At 35.3% G+C, this 24,289-nt stretch overlaps 1 protein-coding gene and 2 long non-coding RNA genes across 4 annotated transcripts in view, besides 2 other annotated features; 1 reads left to right on the top strand and 2 right to left on the bottom strand.

Annotated features, from left to right (window-relative positions):
- DEPDC1-AS1 (DEPDC1 antisense RNA 1) overlaps positions 1–904 on the bottom strand; it is a 41,952-nt gene extending 41,048 nt beyond the window's left edge. The window contains exon 1 of the long non-coding RNA NR_110671.1: positions 809–904. This is a non-coding gene — a long non-coding RNA (DEPDC1 antisense RNA 1). The remainder of the gene's footprint in view (positions 1–808) is intronic.
- Positions 498–23,428, top strand: DEPDC1 (DEP domain containing 1). Of its 2 annotated transcripts, NM_001114120.3 has the most exons (12): positions 498–628; positions 2,885–3,150; positions 7,972–8,128; positions 8,546–8,664; positions 9,076–9,206; positions 10,596–10,643; positions 13,490–13,630; positions 14,683–15,534; positions 15,968–16,140; positions 18,260–18,436; positions 19,608–19,793; positions 20,511–23,428. In NM_001114120.3, the coding sequence occupies exons 1-12, from the start codon at positions 581–583 to the stop codon at positions 20,646–20,648; spliced, it is 2,436 nt and encodes an 811-aa protein (NP_001107592.1). In that variant the 5' UTR covers positions 498–580; the 3' UTR covers positions 20,649–23,428. The 2 variants fall into 2 exon arrangements, with proteins under 2 accessions (NP_001107592.1, NP_060249.2); NM_017779.6 differs by lacking the exon at positions 14,683–15,534.
- Positions 598–657: an enhancer, noted in NCBI's record as "active region_1185". NCBI's record gives its function as "activates an Ori minimal core promoter by ATAC-STARR-seq in GM12878 lymphoblastoid cells {active_cell/tissue: GM12878}" and the evidence as "EXISTENCE:reporter gene assay evidence [ECO:0000049][PMID:35858748]".
- Positions 768–817: an enhancer, noted in NCBI's record as "active region_1184". NCBI's record gives its function as "activates an Ori minimal core promoter by ATAC-STARR-seq in GM12878 lymphoblastoid cells {active_cell/tissue: GM12878}" and the evidence as "EXISTENCE:reporter gene assay evidence [ECO:0000049][PMID:35858748]".
- Positions 13,876–18,451, bottom strand: DEPDC1-AS2 (DEPDC1 antisense RNA 2). Its single transcript, NR_198991.1, has 2 exons — positions 18,271–18,451; positions 13,876–14,819 (listed from the first exon to the last, which is right to left on the bottom strand). It is a non-coding gene; the product is annotated as a DEPDC1 antisense RNA 2 (long non-coding RNA).
- Positions 23,429–24,289: the final 861 nt, after the last annotated feature.

The following is a 24,289-nucleotide window of genomic DNA, read 5'->3' as shown; positions in this document are numbered from 1 at the left end:
TTAGCACTTCAGAGAATCATGGCACCTGCTGAGAGAGAGGATAGGCAGCAGAGAGAGAAACTGCGACACATATCCATCAGGTTGCTTTGCCTTCTAAGCTAACTGCTGAAGATCCTGTAGGGCCAGGCAGAAAAACCGTATTTTCTTGTCTTTTCAAATTTCAAATTCCCTTAAACCAAAGGCTGGACTCCAAATAATTTCGTTTGGAACTAAAGAGCTCATCCCCTCTGAGCACGAAAACAGGACTCTGTGACTCCGCCTCGCCGTAGACCGCAGGAGGGAGAAACAGCGCCAGGGAAACCCGAGCCTGTCCCATCGAGGCGGTCCCAGGCCAGCCCAGCCCACCCCAGCCCGCGCCAGCTACTGGAGCCCCAGGACGCAGCCGAGCGGCCCTCGCCGACTCCTTCCCGAGCCTGGCTGTGGCGTCACGTGACCCGCGGCGCGGCCAATCCGCGCAGCCCTCTATGCTATTCAAATCGGCGGCGGGGCCAACGGTTGTGCCGAGACTCGCCACTGCCGCGGCCGCTGGGCCTGAGTGTCGCCTTCGCCGCCATGGACGCCACCGGGCGCTGACAGACCTATGGAGAGTCAGGGTGTGCCTCCCGGGCCTTATCGGGCCACCAAGCTGGTAAGACAGCTCGGATAGACGGGACCGGTCAGCGGGCTGACGGCAGTCACCACTGTTCGCAGTTTTACCTCGACCGTTCGCAGTTTTACCTCGGTCGGAGGGATGAGTCCCAGGATCCCTAGGTTCAGTGAAAAGGCTGGCGAGGAGAAGTAGCGGGTATGCAACCCTTGCCAGACTCACCGCTCCCTCTATTTTGAGGGTCTGGGCCTCAGGTCCGAAAGGAAGCGCCGCGCGTAGGCCGCACCAGACTCGCTATGAGGAGCGACTCCTGTGCCTGGTGTGGCCGGCGTCCCGTGGGGGCGTCTTAGAATATTCCGATTTGGCCGCTCACCTCGCCTGATTTTCTACCCGCCTCAGAATTAGGGAACAATTGGGAATGAGGTCCAAAGCTTTGTAGGGTTAGGTGGGGGGCAAGCCCGAATGTGGCAATTTTGTTTATTGAACCCATAGAATTTAACGCAGGATGTATCGGCCGAATAGCACTAGGATAACAGCTGCCTGTTTCAAAACGGTATTTCTGAGTACCCATCAGTAACCACTGCTGGTGGTCCCTGAATTGCACGTACAGCACTCCTAACGCGTTTTGTGCAGTTGGGTCTTCGGTTCTATAGGATACTGTGGTGCTGGTTATGTGACGTTAGGTGAGTCCCCTACCTTCTGTGAGCCTGTTTCCACATTGGTAAAGGTTACTAATACATGCTTGCCTTAAGGGGTTTCCCAGGAGGATGCTGTTTTTTAAAGTGTGTTGTGATCTGCAGAATAACAAGCATTTTCCTCTTAGGAATGCCCTTCAGACGAGCATGTATTATTAGCCCTACTTTATCAGGTGCACACTGAGGCTCACAGACGTTAAATGCCCTCTAGAGTCACATCAACAGCAAGTGGCAGAGCTAGAATTCAGATCTTCCTGGTATGGCGATCTTACATGGATTCTGCTACTTAGTAAGTTATTGGCTATATTTACCAATATGAAGGATAGAATTTAGGACAGGAAGGAACCTCAATCAGTAGTCCTGCCACATTATTTAAAACCCATTAGATGAAAGTAGTATAAGCACGCTGAAAAAGAAAACATGCACTGAATGCTTACTAGTACTTCACATATATTACATCATTTTATCATTCCAATAAGCCCATTCGTTAGGTCCTTTTGTCCCTGTTTTGTGGTTAAGGAGATTGAGGCATAGAGATTGAAGATAGGCCCAAAAAGTCATAAACAATAGTGGCAGAGCTAGAGCTGGGAAACCAGCCCTACTAGTCTAACTCCAGAGCCTGTTCTTAAAGCCACTACCCTGTACTGCATCTCAGGAAAGCCGTTCTGTAATCTCCCTTAGTACAGAGTCCCTTTCTGTCATTTTTATTACTGTGTCCTCAGGCCAGTACAGAGTGAGCAGCTCAATATCAGTTTCTAGAGTCAATCACACCTGGGTTTGAATGCCTAGGTTCATCACTTAGCTGTGTGACCTTGGTCATTTTATTAATCTCTCTGCTTTATTTTCCTTATGTGAAAAATGAGAAATTAATAGTACCTATTCATAGAATTGGGGTAATTAAAGTGAAATAATGAATGTGAAGCACAGTGCTACCAACATTAATATTAATTGAGGTAAAAAACAGGGATGAATGTTTTCTCTATTGATTGTAGTTCTTCCTTATTTCCAGATTTCTTAAATAAGCTCAGGATCTTAAATAAGGATCTTAGATCAGCCAATGAAGTTCTTCTAATAAAAAAGCTATTACATAAAAATATTACTACAGCACTAGAATTAATAAAAAGAAAGCAGTGTAAGATATAATTTTTTTTTTTTTGAGACTGAGTTTTGCTCTTGTTGCCAAGGCTAGAGTGCAATGGTGCAATCTCAGCTCACCGCAACCTCCGCCTCCCAGGTTCAAGTGATTCTCCTGACTCAGCCTCCTGAGTAGCTGGGATTATAGGCATGCACCACTATGCCCAGCTAATTTTGTATTTTTAGTAGAGACGGAGTTTCTCCATATTGGTCAGGCTGGTCTCGAACTCCCGACCTCCGGTGATCCACCCGCATCGGCCTCCCAAAGTGCTGGGATTACAGGCATGAGCCACCGTGCCCGGCCAGATATAAAATTTTATATGGCACAAATAAGATGAATGATTCTTCAAGAATTTTTATGATATAATCAGATGTGAATTAAAGAATTTTCTTTACCTAATGTACTTCAAATCAATATGAGATTTAATTTTTCTTCAATTTTTTAAAAATATTTTCCTTCTTTTTACAGTGGAATGAAGTTACCACATCTTTTCGAGCAGGAATGCCTCTAAGAAAACACAGACAACACTTTAAAAAATATGGCAATTGTTTCACAGCAGGAGAAGCAGTGGATTGGCTTTATGACCTATTAAGAAATAATAGCAATTTTGGTCCTGAAGTTACAAGGCAACAGACTATCCAACTGTTGAGGAAATTTCTTAAGAATCATGTAATTGAAGATATCAAAGGGAGGTGGGGATCAGAAAATGTTGATGATAACAACCAGCTCTTCAGGTAATGAACAGATATGTAACTGTAAAACTGAATTACTGTAAAGTTTTATCTCTACTTATATTATACTTTTACTATAACAGCAGCTTCTTCAAAGAAGTTTTATTTCTTTGGAAAACTATTAATGCTGTTAGTTCAACTAAAATCATTTAGAAAAATTGTAATGTGAAAGTTAATTGCTACAAAATTTAAAGTTTTTAAGTGTTAGCATATATAATAAAGTAGGGAATTGGAAGGGAAATACTGATGTATTATCACTTCCGCATATTCTGAACACTTTATAACATTTTAAGGACATATTACTGACCTTTAGTTGCATAGTTTCTAGATTATAAGTTCACAGATCCTTCCCTTCAAACATATAATTTAATTTAAGAATACATGTAATAGGATAATAGCAAATCTTACATAATAAATAACAGACAAATAACAGGACCAGGTAAAGTGGCTCATGCCTGTAATCCCAGCACTTTGGGAGGCTGAGGTGGGCGGATCAACTTGAAGCTAGGAGTTTGAGACCAGCCTGGCTAACATGGTGAAACCCCGTCTCTACTAAAAATACAAAAAATGAGTTGGGTGTAGTAGCACACACCTGAGACTGAGGCACGAGAACTGCTTGAGCCTGGGAGGTGGAGGTTGCAGTGAGCTGAGATTGCACCACTGCACTCCAGCTTGGGCGACAGAGCAAGACTATCTCAAAAAATAACAATGATAACAGAAGAAATATACCACAGGTTAAAGAGAATATTTATTAAGCAGTTAAGATATAACAGAAACTCTGTTTGATGATTTACATATGTGTTCTTACTTAATTGCTATAGTAGCCAAGCAGGGTAGGTATTAACCCCTTTTAACAGATGGGGAAACTGAGACCATGCTTCAACAAATCTTGTTCTGTCTGCCTGAAATGTTTTTCCACCGTGAGACACTGTACACATTTGTCAGGCTAGTAAACTTATACATTTCTTTTAATCTCAGCTCCTTTATAGCCTCTTCTGTGGAGCTTTTCTGATTCCCACAGGTCAGCATAATTGCTTTTTCTCTTATGACCTACGGTTCTTTGTTATGTATCCATTAAACTAGGCCTGTGGAATCTAATGCCCATGCTTTTTTTTTCCTACAACATTAGGTACTTTTCAAATGAAATGTCTAAGAATTTATTGTTTCCTATGTACCAAAAATGATTTATGTCATACAAGTAAACTACAATAACAATCATATGAATAATCCATTTTGTATAGCACTCTACAAATCTTCCCTCTCTTAACTACTCCCCAGTTATCTTTGTGGGCTCCTTTACTGCTGCTCATCCTTTAACTCTCCCATCTTCAAGTTCCTGCCCTTGTCCTTACTTCACCTTCTCCCTAGGCAATCTCATGCCATGTCTTCGCCTACTTTTCTTAAGACTTTCAGGCCTCTCCTGAAATATCTTTCCTGAGCTTTCGGCCCATGTTTTTTCATCTGCCTCCTGGAAAGGCACTTCAAATAAACCATATAGAAAAATGACTATCACCCTCTAACCTAAGTTTTGTCTTCTTAGGTTTCCTATCTGAATAAATTGCATTGCCTTCCCTATAGTTGCCTTGATTCTTTCCCTTTCTTGTCCTTTAAATATGATTTAGTCTATTGTGCTCCCTAAGTAGTTCTCTGATCTGTACACATCTCTCTCCAAGATGAATCTTCTTTTTGTTAGGCTATAATTCTTACCTGGATTTCTCTTTATTTGTTTTGCTTTTGTTTTACCTGGATTTCTGCATAAATCCTCAACTAGTCTCTCTGCCCCTAGTCTTTTCTGCCTCCTGGGTTCAAGCTATCCTCCCACCTCAGCCTCCAAAGTAGTGGGGACTACAGGCACACACCACCACGCCCAGCTAATTTTTGAATTTTTTGTGGACACGGGGTTTCACTATGTTGCCCAGGCTGGTCTCAAACTCCTGAGCTCAAGGGATCCACCCACCTTGACCTTCCAAAGTGCTGGGATTACAGGCATGAGCCACCACGCCCGGCCTCTCCTAGTCTTTTACGATCGTAACAAAACTATAAAGTACATAAAAATAAAGTTTACCAAAAATGTGTAAGACCTTATTGGAGAAAAGTATTAAATTGTATTAAATAGAATAAATGGAGAAAGATACCCTGTTCATGAATGAAAATACTTAGTACATGTATATACAAGTCAATTCCTCCCAAATTGAAATAGAAATTCAGTGCATTTTCATTCAAAACTTCAATATAGTTTCTTTGTGGAACTTGATAAGCAGATTCTAAAATTCATTTGGTAAAAGTCTAAGAGAATTTTGAAGACCAAGGTCAAACTTCTGAGGTGTTCAAACTTTTGAGGTCACTACAAACTTTTTGAATAAATTTGATGTATGGGGCCAGGCAGAGTGGCTCACACCTGTAATCCCAGCACTTTTGGAGGCCAAGACAGGAGGATCACTTGAACCCAGGAGTTCGAGACCAGTCTGGATAACATAGGGAGACCCTGTCTCTACAAAAAAAAAAAAAAAAATTAATTAGCCAGGCATGGTGGCATATGCCTGTGGTCTCATCTACTTGGGAGGCCGAGCCCGGGAGGTTGAGACTGTAGTCAGCCGTGATCACACTACTGCACTCCATCCTGGGTGACAGAGTAAAACTTGGAGAAGAAAAAAAAATTGATATATGGTAAAAGATATGATAAAGTGAAAAAACACCAAACCACATATTGTTTATATACATTTATTAAAAGTATAAAAGCATGGAAAAGAAATACAACTATAGGTTTATTTTATGAAACTGTAAGTTTATATTTTACTCTCCCTTAGAGGGAGATATGAATGAGCAAAGAATTTCATTTTTTTTAAAAAAGGAGTTATTTACACTCCCACCAACAGTGTATAAACATTCCATTTTCTCCGCAACCTTGCCAGCACCTGTTATTTTTTTGTTTTTTAATAGTGTCCATTCTGACTGGTGTGAGATGGTATCTCATTATAGTTTTGATTTACATTTCTCCAATCAGTAATATTGAACTTTTTTCATATGCTTGTTGGCTGCATATATGTCTTCTTTTGAAAAGTGTCAGTTCATGTCCTTTGCCCCCTTTTTAATGGAGTTGCTTTTAAATTTAAGTTCCTTGTAAATGCTGGATACTAGACCTTTGTCAGATTCATAGTTTGCAAAAATTTTCTCCCATTCGATAGGTTGTCTGTTGACTCCATTGATAGTTTTCTTTTGCTGTGTAGCTCCTTCATGTAACTACAGTCCATTTGTCAATTTTTGCTTTTGTTGCAACTGCTTTTAGCATCTTCATCATGAAATCTTTGCCCATTCTAATGTCCAGAATGATATTGCCTAGGTTTTCTTCCAGGTTTTTTATAGTTTTGGGTTTTACACTTAACTCTTTAATCCATGTTGAGTTAATTTTTGTATATGGTGTAAGAAGGTGTCCCATTTCAATCTTCGGCATGTAACTTACCAGTTATCCCAGCACTATTTGTTAAATAGGAAATCATTTCCCCCATTGCTTGTTTTTGTCAGCTTTGCTGAAGATCAGTTGGTTGTAGGTGCATGGCCTTATTTCTGGGCTCTGTATTCTGTTTCATTAGTCTATGTGTTGGTTTTTATACCAGTACCATTTTGTTTTGGTTACTACAGGCCTGTAGTATAGTTTGAATTCTGGTAGCATGATGCCTCCAGCTTTGTTCTTTTTTCTTAGGATAGCCTTGGCTATTTGGGCTCTTTTTGGTTCCATATGAGTTGTGGACAACAGTATAATGATTCATTAAAATCCTAAAACCAAAACTACCATTTAACCTAACAATCCCTTTACTAGGTATATACCCTAAGGAATATAAATCATTCTGTCATGAAGACACATGTACACGTATGTTCATTGCAGCAGTATTCACAATAGCAAAGACAATGAGTCAACCTGAATGTCCCTCAGTGGTATACTGGATGAAGAAAATGTGTACATATACACCATGGAATAGTATGCAGCCATAAAAAAGAATGAGTTCATGTACTTTGCAGGAACATAGATGGAGGTGGAGGCAAACTAAGGAACAGAAAACTGAATATCACATGCTCTCACTTACAAGTGGGAGCTAACTGATGAGAACACATGGACACATAGAGGGGAACAATAGACACTGGGGCCTATTGGACAATGGAAGGTGTGAGGAGGGAGAGGTTCAGGAAAAATGACTAATGGGTACTAAATACTTGGGTGATGAAATAATCCGTACAACAAACCTCCACAACACAAGTTTACTTATGTAAGAAACCTGCACATGCACCCCTGAACTTAAAATAAAAGTTTAAAAAAATTAAAGGAGAAGTCTGGCAAAATGTCAACAATTACATTGGTTGCCAGTTACATACATGGGTATTGTTTTATTATATCTTTGAAGTATTTTATATTAAAATAAAAGGAGGCCAAAACATTACAATCAAAAGAAGCAATAGAAACTAAGTTCCAGAAATGAGGACAAACACAAACAAAAGAGGGAATATACAAACTAGATAACTCATCAAAGAAATTTAGAAAATGTAGCATTCTAGAGCCATTTTGTGTGTAAGCAATACCCCTCTACCAGAATTGACCCTAATAATAACCCTGAATTATCCAGAAATAAAGTTAAAATATACACAATATACTAAAGAAAAAAGGAACCTATTTTTTTTAAAGGTTTAATGGGAAAATTTATTTGTCTAGAATCTTTATTACTTGGTAGTATTAATAAGTCAGGCTCTTTATGTGAATTTTAAAAAAAAAATAGGCTCTAAAAGTTTGTTTCTAATCTCACATTATTTAATTGCTTATTGTTTTTAAACCAGATTTCCTGCAACTTCGCCACTTAAAACTCTACCACGAAGGTATCCAGAATTGAGAAAAAACAACATAGAGAACTTTTCCAAAGATAAAGATAGCATTTTTAAATTACGAAACTTATCTCGTAGAACTCCTAAAAGGCATGGATTACATTTATCTCAGGTAACACATCCTTTTACTAATTACTAGTTTAAATATAATTATGATGTACTCAATGATAGAATCATTAAAAGTAAATTATTCTTTAATATTTAAAGCCAGAACTGAAACCTCCTAACCTACATTACATTCTAAATATGTATATATAAAATTGTTTGTAACCCATAGAAAGAATAATAAAAATGATAGTGAGACATAATTGAAAACAACAGTTATATAATTTAAGTGTGTTTTGGTTTAAATTGATTTGAGGGTGGTAGGGACAACTGCAAAATTAAAAACTCCATTACCATATTACATTATTTCTTTGGGAGATACTTTATAGCTCCACAATGGACTGATAGTAATAGAATTATTGTTGCTTTCAATATTTAAAAAATTTGAGCATAACAGATTAAACCAAAATAATCCTTTTTTCAGGAAAATGGCGAGAAAATAAAGCATGAAATAATCAATGAAGATCAAGAAAATGCAATTGATAATAGAGAACTAAGCCAGGAAGATGTTGAAGAAGTTTGGAGATATGTTATTCTGATCTAGTAAGATAAAATTAAGCTTTAATGAAGTTCCTGATGTGTTCTGATTATTAATTTGACATTTTCATCAAAATATGCAAATGAATCAGAACAGATTAATTCTGAAAGCTTAGAATGCAACCTGTATATGTGTTTTTAAATAAATACTCTTGTTATAGCTCTAGTAGAGTAGAAATTGAATGTTTCGGTATGATTCACCTTTTCTTTGAATCAACATTATGGCCATAGTTTGGGATATATATTGGAATCCTTTTAAGATTATTGAGATAAATGTATTTGAAAGGGGATACTAAATATAAGTCTTAGAAATTTGGTTAAAAAAATAAAATATTCTGATGGCTTTGTTTACTAGTCATATTCATATGTATAATCTATTTATGAAGAAAAAAAGTTAATATTCTTTCTTCTATTTAGCCTGCAAACCATTTTAGGTGTGCCATCCCTAGAAGAAGTCATAAATCCAAAACAAGTAATTCCCCAATATATAATGTACAACATGGCCAATACAAGTAAACGTGGAGTAGTTATACTACAAAACAAATCAGGTTGGTATTAATAAAATAATTGGACTTTTAAAAACTTGCCAACAAGGTTGCAGCTATAGTAGTGTAAAGAGAGACCCAAATATTGAAAGTAGAATACTTTCATGGAGCATCAGAGGGGCTATCATAAGTTCTTTAGTAATAACAGTGGAATAATTTTTAAGTGAGTATTATTCGTGCTAGTATAAGAAATATTTTGTCTGCTAAGATAAATTCATGCATGGTATTTAAAAAAATGACAAAGTTAAGCATCCAAAAGGTATACAAATATAAGAAAAGTTTTGATTAAGCACATTTTTGTTGAGGGCCTCCAACACGTCAGAGATTGTGCTAAAGATTAATGATAAGTAAGATAGAAATGGTCCATACTCTCATGAGGCTTACATGAGTAGTTATGTACAAATTAACAGGAGTCAAACATATATACAAAACTGTAATAACACAACAAAATAAGCTCAGACTTTCAAGATGAGGATTCTAAAGGGACTGGCTTTTTTGTTTTATATATTTATATAGTTGATTGATTTCAGATTTAGATACAAAAATCAGGGAAATAATTCAAGCTAGATAGATGTATTAGAAAACTTAGATTATGAGAAAGGTATCCATAAATCTCTCAAAATCGTAGCTGATGTTTTTATGATAAGTTTCTGTCTGTGGAATTAACTGACATATGCTACTTTGGTTTTCTTTTTATGGGCAAGAACTTTGAGTTTTTAATTGTAGGAGCAAAAGGTAAATGTTAAAACTGATGAGTTTGCTATGTGGCATATGTATGTGGCTGTAGACCAGTCCCTTCTTCCATTACCTAAAATAATATGGTTAACAGTATATTCCCTCATTTAAGATTTCTATTCTTTGTAACCCTGTGTAAAAAAAATGCTAGATTTCTATGGAACATATTTTATTTAGTGGCACTCGAAAGATTTTAAGCAAACTTCACTATAAAAGCAGCATAATAGTGAGATACAGTTCATTTCAATCTTAGGTCTCACCCAAATCAGTAATATTCAAATAGCATAGCAATAGGCAGAATAGAAACAAGGATGAAGAAAAGATAGTGGTAGTAGATAAAAATGAACGTGGAGTTTATATCTAAACACTCCCTCAAAATAATCCTCAATTTGGCAGTATTTAATTGTTATGTGTAATATGAATCAAACTCAGAATCCATAATTTTTTCAGACTTTTTCTATTTTAAAATATTGACTTGATCCTGTGTCTTATTAAACATATAATACTTTTTAATCCTGGTAATACACACATATACAAATGTAACATGTATGTGTATGTGTATATACATATATATAATTGCACGTAAGTGTGATATTTTAAAATATACTATCATAAAAAATGTATGGTTTACTTAGTAATATTTTTCTTTTTGTGTAGATGACCTCCCTCACTGGGTATTATCTGCCATGAAGTGCCTAGCAAATTGTAAGTTAAATATATGTGTGTGTGTGTGTGTGTGTGTGTGTGTGTGTGTGTGTGTTATATTGATAGTATTTAACAAGAACCAAGGAAATTTAATAAAGTCCTGATAAAATTAAAGTATATCATTTCTCTTTATTTATAAATGAAAGTCTAGTGGAATTTATTACATTATGGAGCCCTTAATTTTTTCTGTTTAGAAAGGTGGCGATTTTTTAATTCAAGCATATTATTTATGGTTTAGTTCACATATATTATAAAGTCATAGCCTAGAGGATCTCAAAGGATTTTTTAAGTGAAATCCACACTAATTGCCTCAGTGAGGCTCAGAGTTCAAATGGCTTGAACTCCTTGGTATTTCTATAGTGTAGAAGCATAGAATACTAGATATATTAATGTGACTTTATGTTATGAAAAAAAAAGATTATCTGTCATTGTATTAGTTTGTTCTCGTGCTGCTGTAAAGAAATACTTGAGACTGGGTAATTTATAAAGCAAAGAGGTTTAATTGGCTCATGGTTCCACAGGTTGTATAGGAAACATGGCTGAGGAGGCCTCAGGAAACTTACAACTTACAGTCATGGCAGAAGGTGGAGGGGAAGCAGGCATGTCTTACATGGCTGGAGCAGGAGGAAGGTTGTGTGCAGAGGTGGTACGCACTTTTAAACAACCAGATCTTGTGATAACTCACTCAGTATCACAAGAACAGCACCAAAGGGGAAATACACCCCCATGATTCAATCACCTCCCACCAGGCCCCACCTCCAACACCGGGGATTACCAATTTGGCATGAGATTTGGGTGAGGACAGATCCAAACCTTATCAGTCACTAATCCAGAAATTTTTTTAGCATTTAATTGATCAAGCTTTTCGTAGTGATCAGTGATAATTGATTTTTGTAACATAAAACCCTAGTATGAGTACAAAATCCTAATTGCTTTCAAAGTTAATTTTTTAAATGTACAAAGATATAAGCTAAATCATCAAAAGCTAAATTATGTTTTAATAGTTACAAGTATAATTTTCTAGTTCATACAAAATTAGCATTTTCTAAATGCTAATAGGGTTTTATTAATGTTCAGGGTAACTTTATATTCCTTTGTTGTCCACTGGGTGTCAATATGATAAAATGACATTGAATAAATAGCAATAAATTAAATATATTTACAGAAACATTTTATCAAATTAAGATTAAAATCTTTATTATGAACTTAAGACTTGAATTTGTCTTTCTACTTTCCAGGTATAGTTAGCTATTCCTCTCTTTCATTCCTTTGCTCATGGTTAGGAATTCAGATAGGCATACTGACAGGGATTTCTCTGACATCTGGTCTTCAGGGATTCTGTCTTCCTTCTCGTTTCAGTCTATGTAATACCTAAACGATACCAATTATATAACTTACTGGATTCCAAATTAGCAACAATGTATTTAGCCAGAGGCAGTGTTAAGACTTACTTTACTTGTTATTCGATCCCCCAGAGTAATTCTGTGAGATGTAGGAATTAGTAATCAGTATACCATCCCAATTTTTCCAACAGAGAAAGCCAAAGCTTAGAGTATCTTCTTTTAGTGCAAATGAGCTAGAGCTCAAACCTAGATTCTCTATAAATTCTATATTTTTAATATTTTTAATTCCTGTAAACATGTATTTTCTGTCTTAGAGAACTTTCTAATGATTATCAAATCTTTTATTCCACATACTATTTCTTATGTCCTTAGAAAAATATCTATTTTGCTCTGTTGTTAAGAGTGTGTGTGTGTGTGTGTGTGTGTGTGAATTGTTTTCTTTAATTCTTTTTCAGTGTGTGCTCACATTTGTGTGTCCATACAAAAGTTTGGAAACAGAGAAGTAAGAAATATTATTTGGACTTGGGAAGAGAAACATTTTAACTTGAAAGATAGTATAATGGCTCTAAAACCTAGATGCATACCACAGTCACTAAAGAGACTCTCCAGAGATTCTGTAGGTCAGGAATCTTTAAAAAATATATATATATATATATGCCTCCAGAAGATTACTATAGTGAAGATTCTCAGGTTAGTGTTTGGAAAACACTCAGTGAACCAGAAGCAAACATTTCTAGGTCAGTAAATTTCTGGCCCCGCCTTCATGGATTATGGTCTCCATAGAGGACTTTGTATTTTTAATAGGCACATTGGATGATTCTGTGATATAATCTATGAACCACACTTTAAATGTTGTTGTAGCTTTAAAAGTCCTGGGCCTTGTGCTTATTTTACACTGCTCTAACTTCTAATTCAAACTTTGCTACCAGAGTCTTTTTCATCTTGGGCAAGGTACTCTCAGCCTCAGTTTTCTTATCTATAAAATGAGATCAGATCTTATTTTTGAGGAAAACACAAATGAGTAGGTATGATTATTTCAATAGTTGTGTCAAGCTTAAGAAACAACAATGTAAAGATATTATTTAAATTCATTAAGGCTATGCTTCATGTCAGACAAAATATATTCATGAACATGTAAATTTACAAAAAGACAATTTGAAGGAATTATTTGTGTTGTCCAAATATTCTTTCCTTTACAAAATGAATTACAATAAAATCTTATTAAACTAAGCTTCCCTAATGCTTTTAAAATGATATTAAAATTTTGCTTTATGTATGATTTTTCAGGTATACAAATGTTAAACAAAATACTAGCAATTGACTGCTTCCAGTGGAAAGATAATGAGGAAGAATGAAATACACCCTTTAAATTTTTGAACTGTGGCAGAATTTGTTGTTAAACCTAGCTCCTTCATGAAATACAGATTTTATACTTTTTATGTTTAAAAATTGTATTTAAATTAAAATATACTTTACCTTTTTCTCTTGCCTTCTACTTCTTAGGGCCAAGAAGCAATGATATGAATAATCCAACTTATGTTGGATTTGAACGAGATGTATTCAGAACAATCGCAGATTATTTTCTAGATCTCCCTGAACCTCTACTTACTTTTGAATATTACGAATTATTTGTAAACATTTTGGGTATGTATAGATTTTACTGATTTTAGTTCATTTTGTTAAAGTTTTCAACTTTCTTATAATTTAGAAGATCTAAAACCATAGGTAAATATAAAGGTGGCAGCCTACAAATTATTTTAAAATTCAGTGAAATAAGGTTCCGAGGTTACTCATACTTCCGCCCAGCCAACTACCAATTCGGGACTTCCCTCAACCCCCTACCAGACTCAATAATTCACTACAATGATTCACAGAACTCAGAAAAGCACTTTAACTATGACTATTAGTTTATTATAAAAGCTAGACCTCAAGAATAGCCAAATGGAAGAGTTACACAGAGCACGGTATGAGGGTGGGGGTGGCACAGAGTTTCTCTACCCTTTCTGGTCATGCCGTGATCCCAGCACATCCATGTGTTCACTAACCTAGAAAACTCCCTCAGCCTGCATGTTTTAGAGTTTTAATTGAAGTTTAATTACCAAGGCATGACTGACCAAATCATTGGTCACTGTTGTCAATTGAACTCAATCTCTAGCCCCTTTCTCCTCCCACAAGGTTGTAGTTGGTGATGAAAATTCAAACCATGGCCGGCCCTCAGTTACCTTAGCATGAACTCAGATACGCTGAAATAGGCTTGTTATGAGTAACTAAAGACTTCTATCATTCAGGAAATTTCAAGGATTTTAGGAGCTCCATACCAGGTACCAAGGACAAAGATCAAATATATGTATTTTATTATACCACAATTATCTTATATTTATGAGGTTTCTAGTACTTGCAGACTGAGAACAGATTTTTTAAATGTATTCTGGCTCAATCCATTTAATTAGGCTGTTGAAATAATTTTTTAAAGTTATATTACAAATGGGAAAACCACTCATCTGTCTTGCACGTTTGTAACCGAATGTTGCATGTGTCCTATTTAAGTGGCTTCTGAATTAAGCAACTACTGTGTATACTATACTAACAATATATACTATAGTAATGCTTTATTTTTTAACTTTACTATTGTTTTTGTTTTATTTTTGTCCACTGTCATACAGTTGCATCTTAATTTTTGTTTCATTTCCTGGTAGTTGTTTGTGGCTACATCACAGTTTCAGATAGATCCAGTGGGATACATAAAATTCAAGATGATCCACAGTCTTCAAAATTCCTTCACTTAAACAATTTGAATTCCTTCAAATCAACTGAGTGCCTTCTTCTCAGTCTGCTTCATAGAGAAAAAAACAAAGAAGAATCAGATTCTACTGAGAGACTACAGATAAGCAATCCAGGATTTCAAGAAAGATGTGCTAAGAAAATGCAGCTAGTTAATTTAAGAAACAGAAGAGTGAGTGCTAATGACATAATGGGAGGAAGTTGTCATAATTTAATAGGGTTAAGTAATATGCATGATCTATCCTCTAACAGCAAACCAAGGTGCTGTTCTTTGGAAGGAATTGTAGATGTGCCAGGGAATTCAAGTAAAGAGGCATCCAGTGTCTTTCATCAATCTTTTCCGAACATAGAAGGACAAAATAATAAACTGTTTTTAGAGTCTAAGCCCAAACAGGAATTCCTGTTGAATCTTCATTCAGAGGAAAATATTCAAAAGCCATTCAGTGCTGGTTTTAAGAGAACCTCTACTTTGACTGTTCAAGACCAAGAGGAGTTGTGTAATGGGAAATGCAAGTCAAAACAGCTTTGTAGGTCTCAGAGTTTGCTTTTAAGAAGTAGTACAAGAAGGAATAGTTATATCAATACACCAGTGGCTGAAATTATCATGAAACCAAATGTTGGACAAGGCAGCACAAGTGTGCAAACAGCTATGGAAAGTGAACTCGGAGAGTCTAGTGCCACAATCAATAAAAGACTCTGCAAAAGTACAATAGAACTTTCAGAAAATTCTTTACTTCCAGCTTCTTCTATGTTGACTGGCACACAAAGTAAGGCTGTTGCTTTCAATGCATGCAATATTAACTTTGAGTGTTTACTAACTCTGTGTTTTGCTTACCTGGCTTTTCTTCCTTGAAGTTGCTTAATTTTTTTTCCTCCAAGAGGAATTATTTAAAAAGACTTTTGTCTGTGACATAACCAAGATTTATTCTGTTTACCTAAGGAACTTATTTTCTTTTTTGCAATTTCATTTATTCTGAGTCACTTTATTTGTAATAAGTGAAGAATTTTAATACTTAGAAATAAGTTGTAAAGAAAATAATGAGAATCTTACCATGCTTTAGAGGAACGTAATTTCTAGAAATAGTTAAAAGATGAAATACTAAGATATTATTTTACCTTCTTTATATAGCTGTATATACTGGTAGTATGAAAGCAACTAGTGTCATTGATGATTTTTGGGGGGGTATTTTTGTATTCTAGGCTTGCTGCAACCTCATTTAGAGAGGGTTGCCATCGATGCTCTACAGTTATGTTGTTTGTTACTTCCCCCACCAAATCGTAGAAAGCTTCAACTTTTAATGCGTATGATTTCCCGAATGAGTCAAAATGTTGATATGCCCAAACTTCATGATGCAATGGGTACGAGGTCACTGGTAAGTTGATTTCTTATAGAAAGAATAAGTCTGATTCATAAACCAAAATAACAAAACCAAACTACGTAAAAGTACTACTCAAGTGATGTCTTAGTCTTAAAGTGCTAGATTCTTAGGTTGGAAAGGCTCTTTAACCTTTCCTAGCAGCAGAATTTTGGTGTATTAATCTTTTGTGCACACTCTGTTATACTTTCACATGCTGATGTTAATCCTGGCTAAGGACTTTGCCTGCTCATTCATCCTGAATCACTTCATAGTGATTGACCAGTCAGACCACGTTATGTTGCCTTGTGCCAATTCTGTTTGGTGGATAAGGAAGAAGAAATGTAGGTACTGTTGAAAGCCTAAGGAGACTATAACTGTGGACGCAGAGAACTAATGGAACTTAATACAGTAAGTCAGTGTTTCAGAGAATATAGTAATGGAAAAGTAGGTCATCGTGGACAAGAAGTTGGGAAGCACTATTGCCAAACAGCCTTAGGCTCCTTGTGAAAATGAGGATAAGGGCATTTATATGCAGACAATTGATTGGAAATGAACTCTTGAAATAGTATCTTTAATCTCTTTCTTTTTTTTTAAGTCACCACTTCCTCAAAATGCAACTTCAATTTACAAGAGGTTCTTATAGCAAGGAATCCGGAGTTATGCTTTCTTCCACGCGTTATTAAAGATAGTTCTTTAACAATGACAGACCTAATATAAAGAAGAAGAATTATTCTTGAGTAATTATAGCACTATTAAAAAGCTAGGAAGTTTATAGAGGAAGATGTTTTCAGAGACATGACTGGGAAGGTGATAATTTTGGTTTTGCACTTTTAAGATTTGAAGTCATAGGACCTCCAAGAGAAATTGAAATTTGTCCAACAGAATGTTGGAAATATGAGCCAGGTGAAGAAAGATCAGGGGAGAATGCAAATTGATTTGGTCATTTACATAGGGATAGTACTTGAAGCTATGAGAGTAGATGAGCTCTACAAGGCTAAGAGTGTGAAGAAAGAGCAAAAGGCTGAGGTCTGAGCCATGGAAGGAGACAGGAAACCCCGAGTGATGTGTAGGAATAAAACTAAAAATGTATCAATTCTATAAATATTCTGATCATCTACTATGTGTGAAATATTTAAAACAATTCTGATTTCTAAGTATTTTAGAATGAGGGGTGTGTGTGTGTGTGTGTGTGTGTGTGTGTGGTACAGTTAGAGGGTTGCATAGATATAAGTGAAAGTAACGAGAGTAATAAGTGAGAGTAATCAATTTTATCCCAGGATTTGAAGATCCCATAAGATGGAATTGAAAAATGTGTGTTTTAAATTGCTGTCTAAAGACTGACAGAATAAACATTTTTAAAAACTATTTTCCAGCATTTCAAAAGCTAAATGGCATCAGCTTTGCAACCACTTATGAATAGAAGTGTTCTATATGTTACACATTCTCCTGGTTTGTGTTTTTCTGTGGGATTCATTTAATGTAATTAGTTATTGTTCTCTGACAATCTTTAAGCTTAAGCAACATATATATGTGGTATTAATAGAACCTATGGTGTTTACTGATAAAATTGTGACAAAATTGTAGAAAAACCAAAGCCTTTTATAATTCTTGGGAATTACATTAAGGATATACTTTTTTTTTTTTTTTCTGGTTACACAGGATCACGCTCTGTTTCCCAGGCTAGAGTACAGTGGTGTGATCATAGCTCACTGCACCCTGGAATTCCTGGGCTCAAAAAATCCTTCTGCCTCACTCTCCCAAGTAGCTGGAACCACAGTCATGCACCATCATGCCTGGCTAGTTTTTTATTTCTTCATAGGTATAGGGTTTCACTATGTTGCCTAGGCTGGCTTCGAACTCCTTGCCTCAAGTGAGCCTCTCACCTCAGCCTCCCAAAGTGCTTAGATTACAGGCATGAACCACCATGCTCAGCCATGGAAAAACTTTAAAAAGGATTTATGTATAATCAAATTCTTACATTTCTAACTGTATAAATCGTTGTCCTCATTTTTAAACTGAGGGCTGCTTACCACTTTTTCCCAATACTTCACATAATGCTACCTGGAAATTACCGATATTCTAGTTTGTATGCAACCTTAGCTTTTTAAATTCACATCTTTTAATATTTTTCTAGATGATACATACCTTTTCTCGATGTGTGTTATGCTGTGCTGAAGAAGTGGATCTTGATGAGCTTCTTGCTGGAAGATTAGTTTCTTTCTTAATGGATCATCATCAGGAAATTCTTCAAGTACCCTCTTACTTACAGACTGCAGTGGAAAAACATCTTGACTACTTAAAAAAGGGACATGTAAGTATTGTGAGTCTTAAAATTCTCTGCAATAGTCAGTTGCAAGTGGCAAACTCATCTCAAAATAGCTTAATCAAAAAGGGAGACTTTATCAGCTCCCATAAACAACCTCTAAAAGTCAGGAATGTAGACAGAATCTGGGACTCAAATAGCTATATGACTCTTTCCATCCCTCCATCTCTTATTTCTGTGTTGATCCTGTGTTTGACAATGGCTCCTTCACATGATGAGGAATGTGGCTAGTTGAAGTTCATGAGTTAGAGCCTTACATTTGCAATTCAAAGGAAAAAGAGCCATTCCTCCGTCTCCAATTTAAAAGCTCTGGATGTAGACTCTTAGCATAGTTGAGGTTAAATATGCATCGTTTAGGTTGTTAAGAGTGAGTAGGATGGAGATAGGGCCTTACTCTGATTGGTTCTACACAAAGGAGAATTTATTCTTCACAAAAGGTGAAGGTAGAGGGGTAAAATGGGAAGGAACTATTAAAAGAAGGAGAGAAGGAATACTGAGCAGCCAAAATAACAGACATCTACTGTATTCTGTCTTTGGCTGCCCAACACATGTTTATGTTTTTCCCATACATACCATTCTAATATTGCCCTGGCTTATAATTATAACTATCTCCTAGAATTTCTTTCTCTTATCAGAAGATGTTAGAAGCTCTGCCTATGTCCCTAGGCCTCAAAAAAAAAAAAAATACATGAAAACTAAAAATATTTCATTTCAGTAAATATGCTGATCATCTACTACCTGCACTGTCAGAACATTAAAGTCTTAAGATGAATTAGAATAACACTTAGATTGTTATTTTATAGTTAAAAGAATAAAATCCATAGTTAATGGTAATAATTATAATACCTGTCTTTATTTAATGCTTATTGTGGGCTGAGCCCTTTCTATACATTTTCTTATGTAATTTCCATTTTAATGATGAAGAAACAGACCAAGAAAAGTTAAATACATTGTTGAATGCTACAAACCAAGTAGATTATGGAGCTGGGGTTTAGAACCTACTGACTTACATACCTCTACTGCATAATACATAGTTTTTTTAATGGCTGAATGTTTGATTGGTGGTAAATTAATAGGTGCTAGATCCCATCAAAAGAATACTTTATCATATAAGAACATGACCAGAATTAACAGAGTTATATCATTTTGATCACTACAGATTGAAAATCCTGGAGATGGACTATTTGCTCCTTTGCCAACTTACTCATACTGTAAGCAGATTAGTGCTCAGGAGTTTGATGAGCAAAAAGTTTCTACCTCTCAAGCTGCAATTGCAGAACTTTTAGAAAATATTATTAAAAACAGGAGTTTACCTCTAAAGGAGAAAAGAAAAAAACTAAAACAGGTAAGAGAATGAGCAAGTTCTCAATCATGTAAACATTTTCTAATGTGCTGTTCCTGGTTGTTAATAACATTTAGAATCTACTTTCTTATTTTAATATTTTAGATTTTAAGTTTGAGTTATATAGACTATATATTATGATGTCTTGTATATGTGCGTTAACCTAAAACATGTGAGTACCTACCTGATTTTGCTCTTTATCCTGAATTTTAAAATAATACCAACAGTAATAATATATACTCTCCTTTTTCACTGGTATTTTGTATAATTATAGCTTGGATTAGCCTGGGAAAGCAATTTATAAGGTATGGATATGTATCTTTGAGTGACTTATCACTGTTTTAGAATTTTTAGCTCTGAAAGCCCAGTAGCCACATGATTTTGGCATGTCTAATTCTAAGTCTGAGACACTGAAAGAAATATGAATACTAGATGCCTATGCCCTTCATAGGTTTTATCAGTGGGAAAGAAGATCTGGAATTTAGGGGGAGAATTAACATCGGAAGAGAAAGAATCCTAAAATGTTAATGTTAATGAGATCTAAGAGATCTTATAGTATTCACATGAGAAGAGAGAGGGAAAGGCAAGGATAAAATGAAAGGATACTAATCTCTATACTACGTCTTTGAGAAAAACACTGAATTCTTATAAAATGTTGAGCACTGCTTCAGCTTGGGAAATAATGTTAAATACCTTCTAATTTCTCACCTCATTTTTAAGTTTCAGAAGGAATATCCTTTGATATATCAGAAAAGATTTCCAACCACGGAGAGTGAAGCAGCACTTTTTGGTGACAAACCTACAATCAAGCAACCAATGCTGATTTTAAGAAAACCAAAGTTCCGTAGTCTAAGATAACTAACTGAATTAAAAATTATGTAATACTTGTGGAACTTTGATAAATGAAGCCATATCTGAGAATGTAGCTACTCAAAAGGAAGTCTGTCATTAATAAGGTATTTCTAAATAAACACATTATGTAAGGAAGTGCCAAAATAGTTATCAATGTGAGACTCTTAGGAAACTAACTAGATCTCAATTGAGAGCACATAACAATAGATGATACCAAATACTTTTTGTTTTTAACACAGCTATCCAGTAAGGCTATCATGATGTGTGCTAAAATTTTATTTACTTGAATTTTGAAAACTGAGCTGTGTTAGGGATTAAACTATAATTCTGTTCTTAAAAGAAAATTTATCTGCAAATGTGCAAGTTCTGAGATATTAGCTAATGAATTAGTTGTTTGGGGTTACTTCTTTGTTTCTAAGTATAAGAATGTGAAGAATATTTGAAAACTCAATGAAATAATTCTCAGCTGCCAAATGTTGCACTCTTTTATATATTCTTTTTCCACTTTTGATCTATTTATATATATGTATGTGTTTTTAAAATATGTGTATATTTTATCAGATTTGGTTTTGCCTTAAATATTATCCCCAATTGCTTCAGTCATTCATTTGTTCAGTATATATATTTTGAATTCTAGTTTTCATAATCTATTAGAAGATGGGGATATAAAAGAAGTATAAGGCAATCATATATTCATTCAAAAGATATTTATTTAGCAACTGCTATGTGCCTTTCGTTGTTCCAGATATGCAGAGACAATGATAAATAAAACATATAATCTCTTCCATAAGGTATTTATTTTTTAATCAAGGGAGATACACCTATCAGATGTTTAAAATAACAACACTACCCACTGAAATCAGGGCATATAGAATCATTCAGCTAAAGAGTGACTTCTATGATGATGGAACAGGTCTCTAAGCTAGTGGTTTTCAAACTGGTACACATTAGACTCACCCGAGGAATTTTAAAACAGCCTATATGCCCAGGGCCTAACTTACACTAATTAAATCTGAATTTTGGGGATGTTGTATAGGGATTAGTATTTTTTTTAATCTAGGTGATTCCAATATTCAGCCAACTGTGAGAATCAATGGCCTAAATGCTTTTTATAAACATTTTTATAAGTGTCAAGATAATGGCACATTGACTTTATTTTTTCATTGGAAGAAAATGCCTGCCAAGTATAAATGACTCTCATCTTAAAACAAGGTTCTTCAGGTTTCTGCTTGATTGACTTGGTACAAACTTGAAGCAAGTTGCCTTCTAATTTTTACTCCAAGATTGTTTCATATCTATTCCTTAAGTGTAAAGAAATATATAATGCATGGTTTGTAATAAAATCTTAATGTTTAATGACTGTTCTCATTTCTCAATGTAATTTCATACTGTTTCTCTATAAAATGATAGTATTCCATTTAACATTACTGATTTTTATTAAAAACCTGGACAGAAAATTATAAATTATAAATATGACTTTATCCTGGCTATAAAATTATTGAACCAAAATGAATTCTTTCTAAGGCATTTGAATACTAAAACGTTTATTGTTTATAGATATGTAAAATGTGGATTATGTTGCAAATTGAGATTAAAATTATTTGGGGTTTTGTAACAATATAATTTTGCTTTTGTATTATAGACAAATATATAAATAATAAAGGCAGGCAACTTTCATTTGCACTAATGTACATGCAATTGAGATTACAAAATACATGGTACAATGCTTTAATAACAAACTCTGCCAGTCAGGTTTGAATCCTACTGTGCTATTAACTAGCTAGTAAACTCAGACAAGTTACTTAACTTCTCTAAGCCCCAGTTTTGTTATCTATAAAATGAATATTATAATAGTACCTCTTTTTAGGATTGCGAGGATTAAGCAGGATAATGCATGTAAAGTGTTAGCACAGTGTCTCACATAGAATAAGCACTCTATAAATATTTTACTAGAATCACCTAGGATTATAGCACTAGAAGAGATCTTAGCAAAAATGTGGTCCTTTCTGTTGCTTTGGACAGACATGAACCAAAACAAAATTACGGACAATTGATGAGCCTTATTAACTATCTTTTCATTATGAGACAAAGGTTCTGATTATGCCTACTGGTTGAAATTTTTTAATCTAGTCAAGAAGGAAAATTTGATGAGGAAGGAAGGAATGGATATCTTCAGAAGGGCTTCGCCTAAGCTGGAACATGGATAGATTCCATTCTAACATAAAGATCTTTAAGTTCAAATATAGATGAGTTGACTGGTAGATTTGGTGGTAGTTGCTTTCTCGGGATATAAGAAGCAAAATCAACTGCTACAAGTAAAGAGGGGATGGGGAAGGTGTTGCACATTTAAAGAGAGAAAGTGTGAAAAAGCCTAATTGTGGGAATGCACAGGTTTCACCAGATCAGATGATGTCTGGTTATTCTGTAAATTATAGTTCTTATCCCAGAAATTACTGCCTCCACCATCCCTAATATCTTCTAATTGGTATCATATAATGACCCACTCTTCTTATGTTATCCAAACAGTTATGTGGCATTTAGTAATGGAATGTACATGGAATTTCCCACTGACTTACCTTTCTGTCCTTGGGAAGCTTAAACTCTGAATCTTCTCATCTGTAAAATGTGAATTAAAGTATCTACCTAACTGAGTTGTGATTGTAGTGAAAGAAAGGCAATATATTTAAATCTTGAATTTAGCAAGCCCACGCTTGATTTTTATGTCCTTTCCTCTTGCCTTGTATTGAGTTTAAGATCTCTACTGATTAAAACTCTTTTGCTATCAAGTTTCTTTTCTTGTGTCTCACAATATATTTTCTACCCTATCAGTGGTAATATTTTCTTTACCTCGTTTTTGGTGAAATGAAAGATGGTTATGGAATTTTATATCCTGGTAATCTGTACGACCAAGAGATATACCACCCTTTTATTTTGAAAGTGGAGAGAGAGAGAGAGAGAATGTGTGTGCATGCATGCGTGTGTGTGTGGGGGGGAGGGTGGTATTGTTGAAGAATTTCTGGGAAAGAAATGAAGGATAGCTAGTTTTAATATTGAATTAAATTGAAAGAAAATCGTTTCACCAAAATTAATTTAACAGTTCTAAATACAGTAAGTACAGCAACTCAGACTTATGTATTTACTCAGAATTAACTTCTATTAAGAATTTTTTGTTTTCTCAGAACTGGGAGAAACATATATGTTAGTTGTTTTTATGTCTTCTGAAAACCTCTCAGAATGTGTAGTGAGGAAACAGAATTTATTAGACAAGTAAAAGTATTGTTCGACTTCTGCTCATTATAAAAACTCACAATTTTTCTACCAAAGCATAGCTTCATGTATATTAATGGACTTCCAAATTGTCCCTTCTATCATAAGCAACTAGGAAATGAGCTAAAATATATGAAACAACCCTTTTCAAACATTGGACTACAGGTAATGCAGGGCTATGATCCCCAAGAGAGGGAAAACAGGTGATGAGCCTTGTGATTTCCCCAACTTATTGCCTGAAGGCAGTTGCCAGCAGAGGAACCAAAATAAAGCCCAGTGGTCTCACTGCAATTAAGAAACCAAAGATGACTGAGTTCAGAATCACTCAGGCAGCTGCAAAGAAAAAGAGCTCCAGAGATCTGCAGAGTAGTCCTCCCTAG

The sequence above is a fragment of the Homo sapiens genome, chromosome 1 (assembly GCF_000001405.40).
Source record: "Homo sapiens chromosome 1, GRCh38.p14 Primary Assembly".
NCBI lineage: Eukaryota > Metazoa > Chordata > Mammalia > Primates > Hominidae > Homo > Homo sapiens.
This window is presented reverse-complemented; position numbering and strand designations above follow the sequence as displayed.